Source organism: Homo sapiens, chromosome 18 (genome assembly GCF_000001405.40).
Source record: "Homo sapiens chromosome 18, GRCh38.p14 Primary Assembly".
Lineage (NCBI taxonomy): Eukaryota > Metazoa > Chordata > Mammalia > Primates > Hominidae > Homo > Homo sapiens.
Window position 1 is genome coordinate 8,712,230 of NC_000018.10, and position 23,121 is coordinate 8,735,350.

The following is a 23,121-nucleotide window of genomic DNA, read 5'->3' on the forward strand; positions in this document are numbered from 1 at the left end:
GCTAGATACAAGGGCAGAGAAAATTGGCTTCTTGGAGAGGAATGATTTCCTAAGGGAGAGGTTGAGTTTTGGTTTTATAGGTTGCAGTGTCTCACTGCTGATCCAAGCTTACCATCCTGCTTCTCATTGGAGTTAGCCTTTTGAGTTTCAGGCCCTGACCTGGTTTTTGACATTTGGCAGCTGGGCTGCCCAGATGCCGGGTGCTCAGTGTGGCCTGGGGGTGGAGGGGCACTTGGAGAGGAGCGCAAGCAGTGCTCTGTAGCTGAGGTGTCTCAGCGCCTCCTTGCTCCCCGCCTCCTCCTCCTTTCTCTTTCAGAAGGGTTAACATGGACAGTATTCCCCATTCTTTCCTGACATTCGCTGTCCATACCCACTCTGTATTCAGCCACTGAAAGAGTGGCTATGATCATTTTCAGTGGCAGTTAATGTAGACAAGGGCTGCGGCCACCAGCTGCTGGCTGGACCATCACCTGGTAGACAGTGGGAGTCGCCCTGCACCTCCTTAGTTACAGCTGGGACTCTTGGAGAACATTTCCCTTGTCTGGAGGGAAATGAGGTGGATTATTCGTATGTTACAAAAGACAGTAGTTTCTGTCTGCCCAGAAGATAGAATTATTGCAGCAGTAGCCAGAGGACTCCTTCTACCATCCAAACTGGGTCTATTTAAAGAGGAGGTGCTAAAATAGAGATAGTTACTGATTTTGGGTATTTAAAAGAGATTAAGATTTTCATATAGTTATTAACATGATTAAGAGTTTTCATCACTTATACTAAGAAGCCATGGATTTGACTTTTATTATATATTCATGGATAAAACTATCCTTTTAGAGGTTTTCATTAAAACATATAATTTTAATCTTGGTTTACTCTAGTGCACACCTGGTACCTCATTATTCCTCTAATTTGAGATACATGATAAGGCTTGATTTGTCAGCCACAGGCAAAGGGGAATAGTCGACTGGACTTCACAGTACTTCAAGATTTCGTTTTATATACAAAACTTTAAAAAGGTATTTAATTAAAACTAGCTTTTCAATGAGATAATGATTTAATACTTAAGTATCCTCCAGACTTGATGTTAATTCAGTAAAAAACTATTAAGGACAGCTTTTTCTTATTTCCGTGTATAAAAAGACAACAGCGATTTTCCAATTTTATGTACTATCTCTAAATTACACCTGTCAGAAACATCATATGCTCTGCTCGATTTGGTTTACTTAAATTTTTAGTTGGCAGATGTCATTAAGGTTCTGCAATACAGTTTTCTAAATTGGAGCATGCCGTCAGAAAATTAATGTAATGTTAGTTTGAAAATCACTATCCATCATGACCCTAATTCCAGTAATCATAGTTTTTGCTTTTCAGATGGCTGCTGCCAGCTTACATGGTTTATAATTTGCTTGTCTTTAACTTCTTTTCACTGAACCTGAAAATTACTTTTTTCTAGGCTCTCTGGGAAGAGTTGAAACACTGGCCCTGGTCCTATTGCTGCAGCAGACCAATAATGGTGGAAAGCCATTTATACTTTTAGAATCTCAGTTTCCTCGTTTTAAAGATGGGAGTATTAGCCAGGCATGGTGGCATGTGCTTGTAATCCCAGCTACTCAGGAGGCTGAGGCAGGAAGATCACTTGAGCCCAGGAGCTCAAGGTGGCAGTGAGCCATGGCTGCACCACTGCGCTCCAGGTTGGGTCACAGAGTGAGACTCTGTCTCTTTAAAAAAAGCGGGGAAGGGGCACGGATATCTTTACCGCACGTTGCAGTGTCTTCCTAAGAACCAGTTGCCCTAATGGATATGCTTTGTGTCGTCACTTGTCGAGCTGTAAATGTTAGGCTGCTTTTTTTGTTTTACACTGATGGTGGACTTTTAAAAGTACAATTGAAGGTCTGTTATTGTTTCATTTGTCCAGGTTGAAGCAAATAATTTATGGTATTTACTCGAAAGAGTGTGTGATTGAAAGCAGACAGGCCTGGGTTTGCAGTGTGGCTTCAATTTACTAGATGTGAAGCTTTGGACACAGGTAACTAGCCTCAGTTTTGTTTTTTTGTCTATCAACTGCATAATGTGTTCCTGACAGGGTTATTGTAGGGTTAGTAATGAGGGTGAGGTGCTTAATAAACGACGCCTGTTCTGTAAATTTAGGTAAAATATGAATTATAAGAGCAGTGATTTAAATACATGCCGTTATGGTGCATTGGTCCATTTTTATACTTCTGTGAAACACTAGACTGGGTAATTTATAAAGAAAAAAGGGTTTAATGGACTCACAGTTCCACATGGCTGGGGAGGCCTCACAATCATGGTGGAAGACAAAGGAGGAGCAAAGACACATATTACATGGAGGCACGTAAGAACGTGTGCAGGGAAACTGCCGTTTATAAAACCATTAGATCTCTCTTGAGACTTACTCACTGTCACGAGCAGCAGAGGAGAAACCCGCCCCCGTGATTCAGTTACCTCCCACTGGGTCCCTCCTGTGACACGTGAGGATTATGGGAGCTACAGTTCAAGATGAGATTTGAGTGGGGACACAGCCAAACCATATCATATGATCTCTCCCTAATTTTCTTTTCTCTTTTTTTTTTGAGGTGGAGTCTCACTCCATCGCCCAGGCTGGAGTGCAGTGGCGCGATTTCCACTCACTGCAAGCTCCACCTCCCGGGTTCACGCCATTCTTCTGCCTCAGCCTCCCGAGTAGCTGGGACTACAGGTGCCCGCCACCACGCCTGGCTAATTTTTTTTATTTTTAGTAGAGACAGGGTTTCACTGTGTTAGCCAGGATGGTCTTGATCTCCTGACCTTGTGATCCGCCCGCCTCGGCCTCCCAAAGTGCTGGGATTACAGGCGTGAGCCACCGCACCCGGCCCCTAATTTTATTTGCAGTACAACTAATGTTGGTGATTATTTGTGCCAAAAAATATTGCTATTTACATCTGGTCTGCTCAATGATGTGGAGGTGTGGGTGCATCTAGCCCTTGAACAGTTTTCATAGCCTGTAACATCTGTATGAAAATGCAGCATTTAACATTAGGGTGGATGTGGGCTCTCCAGTTGCAAAGTCTGAAAGCTAGAGACATTTTATACCTGGAAGCTGTATCTTGCATCTTAGGGCTATATTGCATTTTAAAAACTTTTGTCTTAGTTGCCGATAATCCCAGGCATTAATGACTTTGGCAGGCTTTCTGGAAAGAAAAGCAATCACAAACCATTCTTTCCATGAACAGAATGGCCAGAGTCACTGTATATTTGTATGTGTGGATATACATGTACATATACATATACAGATATTGACTTAGTGTTGAACATTTAGTGATTATTGCTTGTATTGAACTGATTTGTATTAATGACTCAGTGAAACAATTAACCTCTTTACTCAGAAACAAGCATTGCGGTTAGGTTCTTTCTCAAAGTCTGATCCATTAGTTTCATGGATGGGGTGTGAATCAAACTTGACGTTGATTTTTGAAGATTCAGAACTAACTTCCCACTCTATCGAAAGAGTGACAACCACAAGGCTCATTTTAAAGCTTTCAGTCTCCAGTTGACCTCCTCTAGGAGTGGGTAGTGCAGGGGCACAGCTCCCATAGGGCGTCTTCAAAGCCTCAGTGATCAGGCATCAGTAACAACCTCCTGTTTGTGGAAGGTTTGCAGAAGGTTGTCAAGCACTGTCCTGAAAGAGCTGTGTTCTCTGGTCCCCTGAAGAGCCCAAACCACCCATTCTGTTTATGTGTGTTCAGCTGATCAGCTCCTATGCTCAGTCCAGTAACTTCCAGTTCCAGCAGATCTTCCCACAAGGACCAGGATTTACCAGGAGAGATTTCCATGGAGGAAAAAAGAAATGAAACTTGGTTACGAGTTCACAACATTTTCAGTGTTAAGATTGATCTTTCTTAAGACACATTAGGACATCTTATACTTTTAATATTTTCATCATTGGTATAGAAATTCTGTAGGAGCACTTAGGAGCCAAGAAGAAGAACATTTTATGCATTTGACTACTGGGAAGTTGGTGAAGGTTTCTTCTTTAACATCTGTTCTCCTTGGTAGCCTATTGAAACAGGCTCCAGATGAGTCCTGGTCAAGTGAGTAGCTCGTTCTCTTGATGGGATAGTGTAGGCAGAGTGGAGAGAACCTACATGCTGGATTGGGGGATGAGTTGCCATATCTGTGCCCTTTCCAGTAGACCATTGTGTGCAGGTAAGGTTGACCGAAGCATCATCATCACCCCATTTTGTGCCAACCCTTATTTTTCCATAAGGATTCACATTTTTATTTGTTGTGTTTCTTGTACTTAATCTTACCTAGGATAAACACATCTTCAGGAGATTTCTTTTTGTTCATTTTTTTTTTTTTTTTTTTTTGTCTGAGGCTCGGATGTTGGGCACCTTGTTCTTTATTGTTAGTCAATTCCTGTTTTTAAGAATAAATACAGGATTAGCATGAGTGGTAAAAATCCAGGAACAAAGGGAATAGCAGGACGAGAATGGACAATTAGGGTGTCTGAGTATAGGAGAGATTTTTTTTTCTTGAACCTTAATATTAATTGAATAAAGTAAATGGGAATAACTGAGTGCATGCTATTCTGGAGGCATCTGAAACTATCAATTATGAAACTAGTCAAGAAAATCCCTAGAATGTTTCCTTAATCTTCCTCCTTCCAAATTGTTCCTCCTTTAAATCTTGTGTAACCCTTCAGTAGAGTGAATATCTCATACCTGCAGCTACATCTGTGGGTTTGGGAAGAAGCTTTCATCACTGGGCTGCAAGACTGGAACAAAGCGAGCGTGCAGTTGTGTCTGATGTTAGTCGCCTTTCTGACTTGGTGTTTGTAAGTGTTCACTGGCGCACCTGTGTATTCATTCAGCAATATTTATTGAGGACCTACCGTGTGCTCCATGCTGCTCGGGATGCAGAGAGGAGAAAGACAGACAAGCTTGCTCCCCTCTGAAGCTTACCTTGTTAGTGTAGGTGACAGACAGTAAGTAGGAAAAAATACCAATACTATTAGATGGCACTCAGAGGTGGGAAGAAAATAGAGCCAGCAAGAGACTAGAGACTCGGGCTGATGAGGGTGGCCAGGGGAGGCTTTGCATGACGTCAGATTATGTGATGGAATGAGCTCTGCAGAGATCTGGAGCGGGGAGTGTTTTCAGAAGTGGGAATAGCAGGCGAGGTCTTGAGGCCTGAAGAAGCAAAGGTGCGAGCAGTCTCAGACCCTGTGCTAGTCGTGGGCAGGGAGGGAGTGTGGCCAGGAGGCCTGGAAAGAAGGAAGCCCCTGGAGGGTTTGAGTAGGGAGTGAGGTGGTCTGATTTGCACATTAAAAGGATTACTCTGCTGGGTGGGGGACAGACTGTAGGAGGATTAGAGGGCCAGCTGAGCAGTGGGCACCTGTGTGTCTCCACTTACATCTGTGTGTGGCTCCCCTCCCCCAGGGATGGAGGCCTGGACCAGGGTGATCCATCCGGAAGGGGCGCAGCTCTGGCTGAGGGCTTGGCTGTAGAATGGGAGGGGAGGGGGAGCCAGGAATGAAATGACTCCTTGGGTTCCCCTGTATTCAGGGTGCATTCCTGTGGACAGCAAAGAGTGGAGGTGTGGGAAAGTCAGAATAGGTGAATGGGAAAAAACAGACCCAATGTGTATTTAAAATAATGGAAAATGTCTCATTTGTGGATAGCGTCGCTTAGTCAATGCTGAGATGCGTCTTGTGGAACAGAATTTTTGGGACATTTGCAGGTATGTTTTAGTTCCAGGGCAATTAGCACTTGTTATCCTACTGAAGTTTATGTTCTTTGAAGGCAGGGTCCGTATGATTCATCTTAGTACCTAGATTATGCCTTAGAGATAAAGGCTTAGGTCAATGTTTGGTTTGAATTGAAAGGTTCAATTATCTGCAGAGTTGATTTTATTTGATCATGTAGGGAGATGTTGGGAGTGGGATAAGTTCTGAGAGGCCACAATGAATAATCCAGTTTTTTAGCTTCTGGTTACATAAGATTTGAACAGATACTCAATTATATTATCTCATATGCAAATTTCCAGAGGTTCTGGTGCCTGTCACCCAGGCGTGGCCATGAGGTGATGGGTAAGCGTGTAGGTATTCAATATTTAGTATTGAGGAGCGGGTATGAAGGAGAGACATGCCATCCTTTTTTGATGTACTTGGCTCATAAATCTTCTCTGTCTGATTTGCATAGGATGAGTTAGATGAACTCCGTGCTGAGATGGAAGAGATGAGAGACAGTTATTTAGAGGAAGATGTTTACCAGCTGCAGGAACTTCGGCGAGAACTGGACCGCGCTAATAAAAACTGCCGAATCCTGCAGTACCGTCTTCGGAAAGCCGAGCAGAAAAGCCTGAAAGTGGCTGAGACGGGTCAGGTGGATGGTGAGCTTATTCGAAGCCTGGAGCAGGACTTGAAGGTGAGTGAGGGGGTGGTGCGTGCACCTCGCAAGGCTGCTGTGGACCGGCTGGCCACATGCACGTTGCCCTGGTGTTTTTTCCCTGCTTGTGTCTGTCTCTACAGATTGCAGCATAAACAGTCTTGGTTTGCTTTATGGCTTATAGAGTGTGTGTAGTTATATGACTTTGACACCCCAAGGTTTACATTTGTCATAATATGAACTTTAAAAAAATGATGATTATTTGTGATAACGAAGAATTAATACCTGCCAATGGGTCTGACAATTGGATAGAAATTCTGCAGAAACTCTGAAAGATCTGAAATATTTTTTTTAAAAATCTATTGATTATCAGTGTAGTCAAAGGCCACTCTTAAAAGTTGATCATATCACTTAACATTTTTTTATTGTTATTTAGGTTTCTAGGATGTAGAAATCCTGACATTCCCATTACCCAAGTGAGAATTGTGTAGTGAGGATCTAATGCCAGGAGAAGTAATCACAAATTGTCTGAGGTGTCTTTGAGAACCACTGGGAGAAGTGGGAATAATGGGAAGAAACCCCAGACTTTAAGCCATTTTCTCTCCGTGGGCAGCGAGGCCCTCATGACCTGATTATCAAATCATTTATCTGGAGATGAATTATGCATACTGTTCTCTTTATTGCCGGAGTACTTGTGAAATCTCATCTAGCCTTTCAGTGTGATAACAGGAAAAGAACCTTTGTAATTCTACCAAAGTTATAAACCACTGACAAAATGTCATTCAGTGTGATAAAGGGTGATTTATATTTCTCTTACAAGGCCTCTTGCCTCATTTGCTTTTAGAAAGTAAACGTGTTTAACTGCTTTGCTCATTCAAATGGTTTACCACACCAGAGCCACAGTACAATATTTAAGACTTGACTACATTGAACATCTTATGCATAGAGAATTTTTTTTTATTATTATTTTAGAGATAGAATCTTGCTCTGTCACCCAGGCTGGAGTGCAGAGGCACCATCATAGCTCACTGTTACCTCGAACTCCTGGGCTCAAGCAACCCTCCCATCTTCACCTCTCAAGTAGCTGGGACTATAGGCATGCATCACCATGCCTGGATTATTTTTTATTTTTATAATTTTTTTAGAGACAGGGTCTCACTGTGTTTCCCAGGCTGGTCTCAAACTCCTGACCTCAAGTGATTCTCCTTTCTTTGCCTCCCAAAGTGCTGGGATTACAGGCAACTTACTTGTTTTGTTAGCAGATGGGTTCAGTATTACTTTAGTGAATATAAATGTTTATTTGTTTATTATTATTCGAATTTCTCGCTTAAAGCACGTGAGCTTGGGCAGAATTGGCATGGTTGGTGATCATCTGTGAGGGAGGAGGGTTATCCAAAGTGGGCTTTAAAAACAATTTATTTATTTTAAAGCCATTTAAATTTAGCAGTTTGGGGGGGTTGGATACCAACTTTAGTGACACTAAGGTTAGCACGTTCTGATAATGCACCACCATCAGACCAGCCAGAGTGGCCTTTTAGCCCAGATGTTGATTTCATTTTTAAATGAATCTCCTCCTCCTTTTAACAATAAGTCAGTTGTGTATTGCCAGGGTCTTTGCTATGTGGTGTAATATATTACTTAATGATTTTGCCTCTGATGTTGTCTGATAGTACCCTTAGCACACAAAAAGCCTCATATCCTGATAATGATCTCTGTGGGTCGATGCAGGTAGCCAAAGATGTATCTGTCAGATTGCACCACGAACTTAAGACGGTGGAGGAAAAGCGCGCTAAAGCTGAGGATGAAAACGAAACTCTCCGACAGCAGATGATTGAAGTGGAAATATCCAAACAGGCCCTCCAGAATGAGCTGGAGAGACTGAAAGAGGTAATCCAAAACTGTGGGGGTCCTGCCCCCTTGGATTTAATAAGGAGGAGCTTGGAACTCCAAGTGCCCCCTTCTCATTGTGGTCGAAAGCTGGGGTTGGCAAATCGTGGCCTGTTTGTTTGGCTCATAAGTTAGATTGTTTTTACATTTTTTTCCTAGCGTGGTAAACAAACAAGCAAACAAGCAAAACTCACAGGAAAGAAAGCCCCCAAAAGCAAAGAAGACTATGGATTCAATACTGTGTGATGCTTGCAAAGCCTAAAATATTTTCTATCTGGCCCTTTGCAGAAAACGCTTATTGGGCCCTGGTCTAAAGCTAGTTTTTGTAATTACCACTCAGATGAGCTGACCATTAATTCCTTTGATGTGTCCAAGTGGAGCCTATTATTGCTAGAATACAGAGTTAAGAAGTAGCTTTTTTCTCCAGAGTCTTCTCCAGTGAGCTGGAAAGTATGTTATGGTTGTCTGTTAAAGCTGTGTAAACAGACAATGTATGTAACACCACCTGTGTAGCTAAAATGAGTTAAATATAGACATTTTTAAATTGTAGGGAGTGATTTTTCTAGCAAAGTAGTCTGGAAAATGAATATATATTTTTTTCATTTGCATACAGCAATGCAAATCCTGTTTTGTTATTGACTTCCATTATAAGATTAAAGCTGAGTGTTTTCTTGGAAAATGTCCTGCATGTGTTGAAATTAAAAGCCTTTGGCGAAGGCTTTAAGCTCACAGTGAATTCTGGTGTGTTACCTGCACCTGCCAGCAGCCTTGCTTAGCGGCTCATTTTTCCTTTGGAACAGTTTCCTGATTCACACAGTTCTTCCCTATCCATGCCCCCTCCCATCTGCTGCACCTGGTTCCGGCCTGCATGGGCTCTGGGTAGGGTTGTGCATGTGCAGTGCAGGCCCTGCTCTCAAGGCGCCTCCAGTTCAGTCAGGCCCACAGATAACAAAACAAACAAATCACAGCAAAGTAGCAGGCGTGCCCCTCTCTGCTTCTGCCCCCACCCCTCTTCTCACAGCTGCCTCGGCCTCCCTGCTCTTCCCATGCATGCCCTCGCTGGAATGTTCTTTCTCCAGGCACTCACCTGTGGCTCATTCCCTTATCTCTTTCGGGTCCTTGCTGAGATTCACTCAGCCCCTCCCCTCAACACTCGTGAAAGTTGTCCCCATCTCCACCCTGGCCAGCCCTGTTCACCTTCCCATCTGACATACGTGTTCTGGGACATTATTTGTCTATTGTCACCGCTCATCTGACAATGCTGTGTGTTTTCTTTCTCTGTCTTTTATCCGTCCCCTCCTTTACTAGTGCCCCTTCGTATCACAAGCTCTGTGGGGCAGGGACAGGGGCTTTGTCTGGCTCACTGTGGGGCCCTCATGCCTGGAACAGTGCCTGGCACATGCTGGGTGGAGGAGTGAATGAAGGGGGCGGAGCATAGAGCTGTGTGATCAGAGCATGCCTGGGAGATGAGGTGGCCTCCCAGAGGAAGAGGTTAGCTTCTGGGAGCTTGCTTTCATCACAGGTAACCCTCACCCCTTAACTTAGACTTGTGTCTGCTCCCAGGACTCGAGGAATTTGTCCTCTAATTAAGGATCTCTGCCTCAATTAAAGTACCAGTTGCTGGTACTTTACTTCCCTCCTGTTCCTTTGTTCTAAGTTTGCTGGAATAATTTCCTTTCTCAGTTTGAGCCTGACCTCAACAGTTAGAGGGTATAGAAAATAGTTTACAGTTGACTCTGGAACAACGTGGGGATTGGAGGTGCGGGGGTCACCTCCTGTGCAGTTGAAAATCTGTGCATGTCTTGTAGTCCTAGATACTAGGGAGGCTGAGGCGGGAGGATTGCTTGTGCCCAGGACTTTGAGGCCAGCTTGGGCAACACAGCAAGACCCTGTTTCTTAAAGAAAAAAAGAGAAAATAATGTATATAGCTTTTGACTCCCCCAAAACTTAACTAATAATAGCCTACTGTAGACTGGAAGCCTTCCTGATAACATAAAACAGCCAATCAACACATATTTTGCATGTTGTATGTATTATGTACTGTATTCTTATAATAAAGCTAGAGAAAATAAAATGTTGTTAAAATCATAAGGAAGAGAAAATATATTTACTATTCATTAAGTGGAAGTGGATCACCGTAAAGGTCTTCATGCTCATAGTCTTCACGTTGAGTAGATGGAGGAGGAAGAGGAGGGTTTGGTCTTGCTGTCTCAGGGGTGGCATAGGTGGAAGAAGATTTGAGTATAAGTGGACTTTCACAGTTCAAAAGTATGTTGTTCAAGAGTCAACTGTAGAACTATATTTTATAAAATTTTATATGTGTATACATTTGTGTATAACTAAACATAAATATATATTTTAAGTAGGTGAAGATTCTGTTGCATACATTTAAATGGATTTGTGTAGGATTTGGCATCTCTTTGAAGGAAGAAATGATTATTGTTACTCTTGACATTCAAAAGCAAGGCCAGAGTGAGACAAGTATCTTCAGAGAACCTGATGCTGGCTCAGGGTGGATGTGAGGAGAGAACGGAGAGGGATCAGCCCTCCCTTTGTGGGTTAGAATTACTGAGAGGAATTGTTCCATTGGAATGAAATAAGTATTTTACTTCCAGAGTTGCATTCAGGGTGGTGGGACCGCATATTTACACCAAACTTCTAAATGAATCATAGAACCGACAGGAGTCCCAGGAGCGTTAGATGCTGGTAGATTAAACTGGAAGCAGAGAACGATGGTATCTCATGATACAAGGTTCAAAGGTGGTGGAGGAAATATTTATTGGAAAATGCCAGCTGCTATCTTTGTGAATGGGTTCTTTTTGCAAAAGCCAGTACAAACAGGCTGAGCTTTGCTCTGGGGTGAGGATAATATTTTTTCTATTGTGCGCCTCACTTTTTGTTGTTCACCTCTGGAGTTTTGTAAATGGATGTGTGACCTCCTGAAAAAGGCAAGGACAGTTCATGTGTTGTGTGTGTCTGAGCAGCAGCAGTTGTCGCAGGTGTGTGTGTGTCCCCTCGGCCTCAGGGGTCCGTGAGACAGCATCTCCATGCCTTCTCTCTGGAGCCACCACTCCCTTCTCTCTGAAGCCCTAGACTGTTTTCAGCTGCTTAGTGGACATCTCCAGTATGAGTTTTTCCTAGCACTTTAGACTCTGTTCAGAACAAACTCATCGCCCCTTGCCCCACCCTGCACCTTCTCTGTCTCCTATTTGTGAAACGGTCTCTGAGTCCTTTCAGTCCCCAAGGCCGATGATGGTGTTACCCTTAACCCTCTTCTCCCTTCTTCAGCCACTTGCTCAGTGCTGTAGGTTCGGCTTTTGCAGGCTTTAGACATTTCTTTCTCACTGATACCTGATAGGACATGGATGAACCTTGAAAATCTGCTAAGTAACAGAAGCCAGACATACTGTTCGATTCCATTGATAAGAAATATCCAGAGTAGATAAATTCATATAGACGGAAAACAGATTCATGGTTTCCTGGGGCTGGGGAGAGGGGAGAAGCGGGACCAACTGCTTAATGGGTAGGCGGTTTCCTTTTGGGGTGATGAAAATGTTTTAGAGCGAGATAGAGGTGGTGGCTGCACAACACGAGAATGTACTCAGTGCCACTGAGCTGTGCACTTGAAAATGGTTTGTTTTCTGTTACGTGAATTTTAACCTCAGCACTTTGGGAGGCCGAGGTGGGTGGATCACCTGAGGTTAGGAGTTCGAGACCAGCCTGGCTAACATGATGAAATCCTGTTTCTACTAAAAATACAAAAAATTAGCCAGGCGTGGTGGCGCACACCTGTAATCCCAGCTACTCGGGAGGCTGAGGCAGGAGAATTGCTTGAACCCAGGAGGCAGAGGTTGCAGTGAGCCGAGATCGCGCCATTGCACTCCAACTTGGGCAACAAGAGCAAAACTCCATCTTAAAAAAACAAAACAAAATAAAAACATTTTTCTTTCTCCACTCTATCCGTACTTTTACCAGTCCCCCACCTCAGACGAGTATTTGAGAGCTGAAAGTGTAGGCTGACCATACACGTTGAATGTGTACACGATTTCTAGTCCTTTCCTTTTGTTTTCTCTACATGCCAAAATTCTGAACATGTCACTCTGCTTAAACAGGCAGACTTGCCTTGGCTTGTCTTAACTCTTTTGCATGACACAGCAGCCTATTACCCCCTAACCCATCCCCGGCTCCCTGTTGGGTTTCCCACTCCAGGGCTGTAAACGTTGGCCTGAAATGGGAGAGCAGTTTAGAATGATGACTAGGACTGTGTGCTCTGATTCTTTTTGAACTACTAGAGGTGTATCTTTTAAAAGTTACTTTCTCTATTGATTAAAAAAAGGGCTGATCTGGCTAGAATTATCCCTTCCCACTAGCCAGCTTGCTTGCTGGCATCCTGTGCCTATTCACTCTTGGAGTCTGTGACCCTAGGCACCCACACGCCCTCTGCTTGTACAAAACTCAAACAATTTTCATCTTTTTTTTTTTTTCTGATATATTTCTTCTAGTATTCAACTCTACCTATAGTGGAATCTCTCAAAAAGTAGAAAATGGTTAACCTTAGCTTAGTTTCCACTTCTTAAAGATAGCCCTAATTCTTTCACTGAACAGTATTTCATTCTACCCCCAATTTTTAGAGTTCTATTACGTGCTAGACACAAATAACAACTAGCCAGGTTAGCCAGCACTTATACGGGACTATATACATGTTCTAGATCATTCCAGTGAGCTCAGGTTATTGAAAAGAGTCCGAGGGAACCAACTAAGAGACGACTTCTTGCGGCTGCCTTTCCTCAAGCTCAGAAAATGACATAGATTCCCTGGGTTTGGTTGAGACTTCTTTTGTGCATAGTAAATCATCAGATTTTGTAATGATTCCTGTGTGCTTGAGACGAATGTGTTTTGGGGTGCAGACTTTGATTTAAATCTGTTAGATTGAAGACTTCAATTGTAACCCACAGCAAAAAGGGCATCATCACTCAATATACAACTATACAAAGGTTTTACAAATACACAAAGGTTTAACAAAGTAATGCTTAACTTTGTCATTTGGGGTACACTCTGTTATTTTCCATTCAGCTAAAAAAATTTTTTAATGGTGGTTATAAGATTGATTTATAGTTCATTAGTGTGTTGTTGCAATTTGGAAAAATGTATTGACTCATTTGTTCGCTGTATTCAAATTTTCTATATCCTTTATAGCTTTTGGTCCCATTATAATTGCGCATTTTAATTTTATTCTTGTAATTTGTCAAACTTTGCGTTATGTATTTTGGTGCCATTTTCTTTTTTTTTTTTTCTTTTTTTTTTTTTTTTTGAGATGGAGTCTCTCTCTGTCGCCCAGGCTGGAGTGCAGTGGCACGATCTCGGCTCACTGCAAGCTCTGCCTCCCGGGTTCACGCCATTCTCCTGCCTCAGCCTCCGGAGCAGCTGGGACTACAGGCACCCGCCACCACGCCCGGCTAATTTTTTTTGCATATTTAGTAGAGACAGGGTTTCACCATGTTAGCCAGGATGGTCTCAATCTCCAGACCTCGTGATCTGCCCGCCTCGGCCTCCCAAAGTGCTGGGATTACAGGCGTGAGCCACCGCGCCTGGTCTTGATACCGTATTTTTAAGTGAAAACAGATTTAGGACTCTTCCTTGTGATGAGTTATTCCCTTTATCAGTTGGTAATGACCTCTTTATTCTAATGTATTGCTTTTTGCTGTAAATTCTTTTTTATCTGCTTTCATCATCTATACCAAATTTCTTTTGGGTAGTATTGGCTTGGGATAGCTTTTTTTTCTTTTTTTCTTTTTTTTTTTTTTTTTTTTGTCTTAAACAACAGACATTTATTTCTGACAGTTCTGGAGGCTGGGAAGTCGAAAATCAAAATGCTAGTCAATTTGGTTCCTGGCGAGAGCCCTCTTCCCTGCTTACAGATAGCTGCCTTCTTGCTGTGTTTTCACATGGCAGAGAGCATGAGGGTGAGAATAAGAGGAGAGAGAGAGAGAGAGAGAGAGCGCGCGCGCGCGCAAGAGCGAGCGAGAGAGAGCGAGTGCGCATGCGCGCGCGCAACAAGCAATGTTCTGGTGTTTCTTCCTCTTTTCATAAAGATATTAACCCCATCATGGGGCCAAGGCCCCACCTCCATAGAACATCACGCTGAGGGTCAGGGCTTCCACATATGAATTTGGGGGAGGGCATAAACGTTCAGTCCATAATAAGGGGGAGAGTGGAGGAGGCAAGTTAGGAGGCTTCTCCAGTAAATCCTTGAGAGAGATGGTGGTGGTTTGAACCCCAGGGTTTTGGTAATTCTTTTTAAAATTTCTTTAAATTTTAGATTCGGAGGCATGTGTGCAGGTTTGCTGCATGAGTATCTTGCATAATAGTGAGGTTTGGGCTTCTAGTGCACCCACCACCCGAACGGTGACTGTACTCAGTAGATAATTTGTTTAAACCCTCACCACCATCCCGCCCATTCTCCCCGCTTAAGGACTCCCCAGTGTCTATTATTTACATCTTTGTGTCTATGTTTACCCATTGTTTAGCTCTCAATTGTAAGTGAGAACATGCAGTATTGGATTTTCTGTGTCTGAGTTATTTGACTTAGGATAATGGCCTCCAGCTCCATCCATGTTGCTGCGAAAGACAGGGTTTCATTCTTTTTTATTGCTGCGTAGTATTCCATGGTGTATATATACCACACTTTCTTTATCTAATCGTCTATTGATGGATACTTAGGTTGATTCCATGATTTTGCTATTGTGCATATTGCTTCAATAAACACATGAGTGTAGGTATTTTTTTAATATAATTTCTTTTGGGTAGATGCACATTAATGAGATTGCTGGGTTGAATGGTAGTTCTATTTTTACTACTTTGAGAATTCCCTATACTGTTTTCCATAGAGCTGTACTAATTTACATTCCTACTAACAGTGTATAAGAGTTCCTTTTTCTCCATATCCATGCCAACATCTGCTGTTTTTTGATGTTTTAATAACAGCCATTCTGACCGGTGTTTGATGATATCTCATTGTGGTTTTAATTTGCATTTCTCTGATGATTAGTGATGTGGAGCATTTCTTCATGTTTCTTGACCAGGTACATGTCTTCAATTGAGAAATGTCTGTTCATGTCCTTTGCATGGCCTGGGATAGCTTTTCTATGGTTTCTTTAGTTTCATTTTTCTATGTCATTATGTTTTCAGTGTATTTCTTCTGAACAGAATGTAGCTACATTTTTTAAAAATGGGATCTGAGACTCTCTCTTTTTTAAACTGATAAATTTAATGCATATATAAGCATTGTGGCTACTGATGGTTTGAGTTTATTTCTGTCATTGCATTTTATGTTCTTTATTTTCCCTGCTTGCTCCTTCTCTCTCTCTCTCTCTCTCTCCCTGCTTCCCTCCCTCCCTCCCTCTCTCTCTCTCTCTTTCTTTGACTTCTCTTTGAGTTTTTAATTCTGTGTCTTAGTTGGGAAGTTATACATTCTATTTCTGTGATTTTAATGATCACTCACATGTTTAACATGCATGTTTGAATTGAAGTTTAAAACTAATCATTAGCTGTATTCTCCTCCTGAAGAATACAGCCATCTTAGAAAGCTTCAACTTTAATCAAATCTTGTCTTTCATATGTTTTAGTATCATTTTAGTTTCATCTTTTTAAAATGACCTTTTAAAAACTTATTTAATAGCTAATGCTTGTTTAGATTAATTTACAGTTAATTTAATTGCCTATTTGTTTACTTATCATTGCTTCTTGAGTGTTACTTCTCTGAGTTCAGTTTCCTTCTTGCTGATCTTTTAATACATCCTTCAGCAGTTTTTTTCAGTTAGCAGTATTGCTTTCATTTCATATTGTCTTGAAATCTATTTAGTTGGGTGTGGAATTCCAACACTTTGAAGATAATATTTTATTATCTTTTGGCTCATTTTGCTGTAGAGAGGTCTGCTGTCAGCATAATTTTTATTTTTGAAGCTAATCTGTCTTCCTGATGACTCTTATACTTTTCTTTTTGTGTTTGGTATTCTATAGTTTCAGTCCACTTTATCTAGATTTATTCTTATTTTGCTCAGCATTCACCGTCAGTCTGATTAAGTCTGTCATGAAATCTGGAGAATTCTCACTCCGAATAGTGTTCGATAGTGAAATTTTCTCTGAATTGTATTTCCTTTCATCACCTGTATTCTTTCTAAAACTTCTGCTAGTCCCATGTGGGGCCTTCTTATGTTGTCCATTCTTTTTTTTTTTTTTTTTTTTTTTTTTTTGAGACGGAGTCTCGCTCTGTCGCCCAGGCTGGAGTGCAGTGGCGTGATTGATCTCGGCTCGCTGCAACCTCCGCCTCCCGAGTTCAAGCGATTCTCCTGCCGCAGCCTCCCGAGTAGCTGGGATTACAGGTGCACGCCACCATGCCCAGCTTTTTCTTTTTGTTTTAGAAGAAACAAGGGTTTCACCATGTTGGCCAGGCTGGTCTCAAACTCCTGACCTCAGGTGATCCACCCACCTCAGCCTCCCAAAGTGCTGGGATTATAGATGTGAGCCACCACGCCCAGCTGGATTGCTTGCTTATTGTACTGTTTTTTGAGACAAGGTCTTGCTGTCTCCCAGGCTGGAGTCCAGTGGTGTGATCACAGCTCAAGGCAGCCTGGACCTCCTTGGGCTCAAGCAGTCCTCTCGCCTAAGCACTTTCCACCCCCACCCCCGGCCCCGAGTAGCTAGGCTAGTGCCACATGCCCAGCTAATTTCCGTATTTTTTGGAGAGACAGGGTTTTGCCATTTTGCTCAGTCTGGTCTCAAACTCCTGGCCTCAAGGGATCCTCCTGCCTTAGCCTCCCAAAGTGCTGGGATTACAGGCTTAAGGCCTGCCTGTTATATATTTTTTTTCATTGTTGAGTTTTGAGAGTTCTTTGTACATTAAGTTAATTAATTAAAATTTTTTTAGAGACAGGGTCTCCCTCTGTCACCCAGATTGGAGTACAGTGGTATACTCGTGATGTACTGCCACCTTGAACTCTGGGGCTCAAGGGATCCTCTGCCTCAGCCTTCTGAGTAACTAGGACTAGAGTTATACGCCACCGCACCCAGCTGACTGTAGAAAATCTTTTGTAGAGATGAGGTCTCACAGTGTTGCTCAGGCTGTCTCAAACTCCTGGACTCAAGTGATCCTCTCACTTTGGCTTCCCAAGAAGACAAATATATATATATATATATATATATATATATATATATATATATATATATATATATATATATGGTTTGCAAATATTTTCTCTTACTCCGTAGCTTGTCTTCTCATCCTCTTACAAGGTTTTCTCAGGGCAAAAGTTTTTAGTTTATGAAGCCCAATTTAAGAATGATTCCTTTTGTGGTATCAATTTTAAAAGCTCTGTGCCTAACCCTACATCCTGAATATTTTCTCCTATGTATTTTTTGGAAAGTTTTATTGTTTTACATTGCACATGTATGTCTGTGATCCATTTTGAATTAATTTTTGTATATGCTATGAAACTTAGGTCAAGCTTCATTTTTTTGGCCTGTGAACACCCAGTTACTCTGGCACCGTCTGTTGAAAAGGCCACCTTTCCTCCATCGAATTACTTTTGCATTGTTGTCAAAAATCAGTTGGGCACATGTGTTTGGGTCTGTTTCTGGGTTCTCTGCTCTGTTCCATTGATCTCTGCCAGAGCCACCCAGCCTTGATCACTTAGCTATATATGTCCTGAAAGTGCTTTCTTGGTGCGGAGTCCGTGCCAGCCAGCAGATCCGAATCCCATTTGATCCCTCAATGGCATTTTGGCCCACTCACCTCTTTGCCTTTTGGTATGTCTGTGTCTCTCTACACAGCCCCGTCCTTATGAAACGCTGGATAAATATTTGTTCCATGGGTGAAGGTTTTATCATCTTTATTTTTCCCTTGAGAAAGAGCCAAAACATTATTTAAAAATCTCTTGCTGAGGAATTTCTGATTCTTTATATCATTACCTAAGGATAGTTAATAAAGGCCAGTAATTCCACTGTAGGTCAAGTTTTTTGACAATGACTGTGAGTCATGAAATTGGCCTGTTTGGTTAGTGATAAGCGAAGCCGCTTCTGTTCATCAACTTCCTGAACGTCAGCCAGGCTCCTCGCTGGGCTTGGACAACGCCGGCTTGTCCCCTGTGCGCTGTACAGCTGCCTTCTTTTTATTTCCTGTGCAGTCTCGCCCACAGCACTGCAGGCTCCGGGGGACCTTTTAGGGCAGATTATGGCACCCTTGGGATGGCTACCTTGGACGCAGCGATGCTGTGTGAACATTACTTTGCAGACTTCCTGAGAGATTGAAGATCCATCTATTTCTCTCCTTCTCTAAGACAGCCTTTCTTGGAAGATGGGAATCTCTGATAATGTGCAGGGCGTTTCAGCATTTTACCTACACGTTAGAATGGAACCTCTGACTTGTAGTGAAACAGACACTGTGCTTGCTGCTTTTCTTAAAAATAATTGGCTGGGTGCGGTGGCTCACGTCTGTTTTCCCAGCACTTTGGGGAGGCCGAGGTGGGCGGATCACGAGGTCAGGAGATCAAGACCATCCTGGCTAACACGGTGAAACCCCATCTCTACTAAAAATACAAAAAATTAGCCGGCCGTGGTGGCGGGCGCCTGTAGTCATAGCTACTCGGGAGGCTGAGGCAGGAGAATGGCGTGAACCCGGGAGTCAGAGCTTGCAGTGAGCCAAGATTGTGCCACTGCACTCCAGCCTGGGCGACAGAGCAAGACTCCATCTCAAAAAAAGATAAAAAAGTAAAAAATAATAATAATGATAATTAAAATAGGCTGGGCACGATGGTTCATGCCTCTAATCCCAGTACTTTAGGAGGCCGAGGCGGGCAGATCACCTGAGGTCAGGAGTTCAAGACCAGCCTAGCCAACATGGTGAAACCCCGTCTGTACTAAAAATACAAAAATTAGCCAGGCATGGTGGCAGGCGTCTGTAATCCCAGCTACTCAGGAGGCCGAGGCAAGAGAATCGCTTGAACCTGGGAGGCAGAGGTTGCAGTGAGCCAAGATCGCGTCATCGCACTCCAGCCTGGGGGGCAAGAGCGAGACTTCGTCTCAAGAAAAAAAATAATAATTAAAATATAGACAGCACATATTTCTGAATAATTTAGACTTTCACTAGGCAGTAAACTGCATCAAATTTGTAGCATTGTCTGTGCTATGGGAAAAATAGAAACTACTGCTCTTCTCAAAAAAAAAATTTTTTTTTGAGACAGAGTCCCACCCTGTCACCCAGGCTGGAGTGCAGTGGTGTGATCTCAGCTCACTGCAACCTCTGCCTCCCAGGTTCAAGTGATTCTCCTGCCTCAGTCTCCTGAGTAGCTGGGATTACAGGTGTGCACCACCACACCTGGCTAATTTTTGTATTTTCAGTAGAGACGGGGTTTCATTATGTTGTCCAGGCTGGTCTTGAACTCCTAACCTCAAGTGATCCACCTGTCTCAGCCTCCCAAAGTGCTGGGATTACAGGCGTGAGCCACTGTGTCCCGCCTCAAAATTTGTATTTGATTCTCTTGGGGTCTGTTGAATTTATATGCTACAAGTCATGTTATTGATGTAATATAATTTAGGTAACTTTATTCTTTTAATCTTCATTTTTTTTGAGACAGGGTCTCGCTCTGTTGCCCAGGGATCATGGCTCACTGCAGCCTTGACCTCTTGGGCTCAAGGGATCTTCCTGCCTCACCCTCCCGAGTAGCTGAGACTACAGGCGTGTGCCACCACACCCGGCTAATTTTTTTGATTTTTTAAATTTATTTATTTATTTATTTTTTAGTAGAGACTGGGTCTCATCATGTTGCCCAGGCTAGTCTCAAACTCCTGAGCTCAAACAATCCTCCCACCTCAGTTTCCCAAAGTTTTGGGATTACAGGGGTGAGCTGCCGTGTTTGGCTAATTTAGGTAACTTTTATCTTCAAGTGCAGAATCAAGAGTCAGAGAAATAGAAATGCTTAGAAAATACTCCATAGGATTCTCTACGGCCTGAGTGCTGTTTCTTGGTGTTGCTCAGACTCAAGTGAGCCATCGTACGTTGAAATGGTATGATTATGAGCCAAATAAGCAAGTTGTGTTGTTTTTTTCTCCCTGGTAATAAAAAATCATTCGCATTGAAAAGACGCCGAGTCACCCATACATAGTTACACAGCCCAACTGAATGTCTCCCTGTTGGGCAGGTAATCAGGCAGCACTTGAATTCTGACCTGAGAATAAGCCCCAGAGAGAGGATGGACCCCAGGTGCTGGCAGGGTGCCGCTCCCCATGGCTGTTTGTACAGGGTGGTTATTCTCCCCTGAAAGAATGTTGGGGGTGGGGGCAGTTAGGTGTGTGTTTGTTCCTTGCATCGTAGATATGCTTTCGTGTGACCTTCAGCAGTGTTCCTGGGACAAGGGGAGCAGGAAATGGGGAGGGCATTCATCAGGCAGTTGGCATTTGAACGTAGACACTGTTCATCTTTGGGTGCGGATGTGCTCTGGTTGCCCAGGCAAAGCCGTGTTCATTGATCAGACATCTATCTGTGTACTGTTTAGCACTCAACAGTTGCGGGTAGACCGTTGCCAGTTGTTTTCGCATCACACGTGGCTCATCTCTCCTGGCAGGGGGGAGGAAGGTGAGAGCTGAGGACGCAGTGCCTGGGAGCCAGGGCGCAGGGCAGCCCTCGGGACTGTCAGACCACCTCGGGGGCTGAGGTGAGACGAGGCCGGGGAGTGTTTGATCTTCTGTGTTTATTCATGGGCATTAGTAAAGCTTTTTTTCATAAATGAGAGAAACAAAATCACTGCTGAAAAATCCTCCATGTATTGTTTCTGTAAACTATAGGAAACATTAAAATTTGAAGATGATATGGTTTTTCACAAGTGCCTGTCTGTATCTGTGTCGGCCTCATTTTTTGTTTGTTTGTTTGTTTGTTTTTGAGAGGGAGTCTCTGTCGCTCAGGCTGGAGTGAAGTGGCGTGATCTTGCCTCACTGCAACCTTTGCCTCCTGGGTTCAAGCGATTCTCCTGCCTTGGCCTTCCCGGTAGCTGAGATTACAGATGCCTGCCACCACACCTGGCTAATTTTTGTATTTTTAGTAGAGATGGGGTTTCACCATGTTGGCCAGGCTGGTCTTGAACTCCTGACTTCAAGTGATCCACCCACCTCGGCCTCTCAAAGTGCTGGGATTACAGGCGTGAGCCACTGTGCTTGGCCGTTAGTATCCTGTTAATGATTGAGAACCTCAAGCATTGGCACTGAGGAGGCTACAGGAGCGTCCTCGCAGGTGGGAGTGGGCCGGCCAGCTGGCTGGGTCAGTGGTGGGGCTTGGCCAGGCCGTTTTTACTTTTCAATCTTGAAGTAACACTCAGAGTTTCTTGTTTGTTTCCAAGGGTTCTCATGTGTAGGAATCTTGGTTTGGGTTTGGATATGTCGTTTTTATCTTCCCTTGAGAAAGAGCCATAAACATTATTTTGAACTTATTTGTAAACGAGGTTACTCACAGGGTCACCTAAGTAATAAGGCCCAGTTGTCATCTAACCCTCGTGGAAACATTACAGGTGAGGGTTGCTAGAGGAATCACTTGAGTAATCTGCTTGGAGCAGGGTTTCTCTGCTGTCGTTTTAGACTGGGTCCTGCTTCGTTGTGGGGACTATCCTGTGGACTGCAGGATGCTTAACGGTGTTCCTAGCCTCTGCCCACTAGATGCTGGTAGCACCCCCCCTCCCCAATTTGTGGCAATCAAGAACTCTTTTCCTCCTCCAACTCCGTTGAAGCTTTGGAGGGAAGAGTCATCGCTTGACCCTGAGTACTTTGTGTTGAAGGATTTCAACTGTCTTGAAGGATTTGTTTGACAAGATTGTGGGTTGGCTGCACAAGGTTTGTTCTAGCACCTTAGGAAAACTCTCTTGTCTCCCTTCTTACTGTCTCAGGTCACACCCTGCTCCGGAGCCATCCCCGTGAAGTCTCCAGCTTGGCTCATTATGTATTTTCTGAAGGGTACCCTGCATTTTCTAGCTGATTGATGAGATGGGTAGAAGGTGATACCCATGTTCACCTTTGCTCTCAACCTTTTGCAAAACACCCTTTTAAGTGACTCTAGATGTTTGGGCCCTTCTCTGTGGGAAGATTAGAGGGCGGCAGTGCCAGGAGCAGGTTTTGACAAGTGGTTTCTTGTGCCGTCACTTTTACTGAGGTGGTGAAAGATTGTACAGTGCGTGCCTGGGATCAAGCCCTTTAGCTGGTGATGCCAGGCCCTGGCTGCACGGTAGCATCCCTGCGGAGCTTTTAAGAATCCTGCTGCCCAAGCTACACCCTGGCCCCTACATCAGACCCTGGGGGTGGTGACCCAGGCATCTGTGGTTTTTAGAACTTCCCTGGTGGTTTCAGGTCAGCAGCAGTGTGCCTGCAGCATCTCCTTTACAGAAACTTAACAATTTTCCACCAGGAGAGGGTCTGGGAGTTGGTCAGATTAATGAAGGGTAAATGTAGGAGTTTCCCAAACTGGCGTTTTGTGAACATGAGGCTTCGGAGTCACTTGTTTGGACAAATGACCTCTGTCCATCAAAGCCAAGGCCCCAATTTAGCTAGGATATATAATTACTCTAATAAGTTAATAAGTTCACAGTCATGAGTTTTATATTTCCAGGACTACAGAAGTTGTAAAGGACAATAACTGTATGGTTTCCTGTTACAGTTTTCCTAAAGCAAATCCAAGGTCAGATTCTAGCATATGCATGAAGGTGGCCTTTGTCTATGGTGGATTTGAACCTGCCACTCATCAGTTCTACTCCACTCCTCTGCCACCTTCAGTTTCTTTTCTCCTCTGTCCTCTTCCCCTTTAGCTCAGCTAAAGAGCACA

General features: G+C 43.3%; 1 protein-coding gene across 33 annotated transcripts in view, besides 2 other annotated features; it reads left to right on the forward strand.

The window, feature by feature from the left end:
• MTCL1 (microtubule crosslinking factor 1) overlaps positions 1-23,121 on the forward strand; it is a 127,223-nt gene that overhangs the window by 6,674 nt on the left and 97,428 nt on the right. For 27 of the 33 annotated variants that reach the window (XR_002958167.2, XR_007066128.1, XM_024451115.2 and 24 more), the window contains exons 2-3: positions 6,195-6,419; positions 8,109-8,267. Coding sequence is in view for 31 of the 33 variants with exons in the window: in XM_024451115.2 (XP_024306883.2) it covers positions 6,195-6,419; positions 8,109-8,267 (384 nt within the window). In the remaining 2 variants the exon portion in view is untranslated. Of the gene's footprint in view, positions 1-1,912; positions 2,021-5,151; positions 5,734-6,194; positions 6,420-8,108; positions 8,268-23,121 lie in introns of those variants that run through there. The other 6 variants (XM_017025673.2, NM_015210.4, XM_024451122.2 and 3 more) reach the window with 4 other exon arrangements.
• Positions 12,131-12,714: an enhancer, noted in NCBI's record as "NANOG-H3K27ac hESC enhancer chr18:8724358-8724941 (GRCh37/hg19 assembly coordinates)". NCBI's record gives its function as "activates a minimal SCP1, AML or CMV promoter by ChIP-STARR-seq in primed H9 embryonic stem cells {active_cell/tissue: H9 hESC(primed)}" and the evidence as "EXISTENCE:reporter gene assay evidence [ECO:0000049][PMID:30033119]".
• Positions 18,182-18,476: an enhancer, noted in NCBI's record as "tiled region #10096; HepG2 Activating DNase matched - State 5:Enh, and K562 Activating DNase unmatched - State 5:Enh". NCBI's record gives its function as "activates a minimal TATA promoter and a strong SV40 promoter by Sharpr-MPRA in HepG2 and K562 cells {active_cell/tissue: HepG2 | K562}" and the evidence as "EXISTENCE:reporter gene assay evidence [ECO:0000049][PMID:27701403]".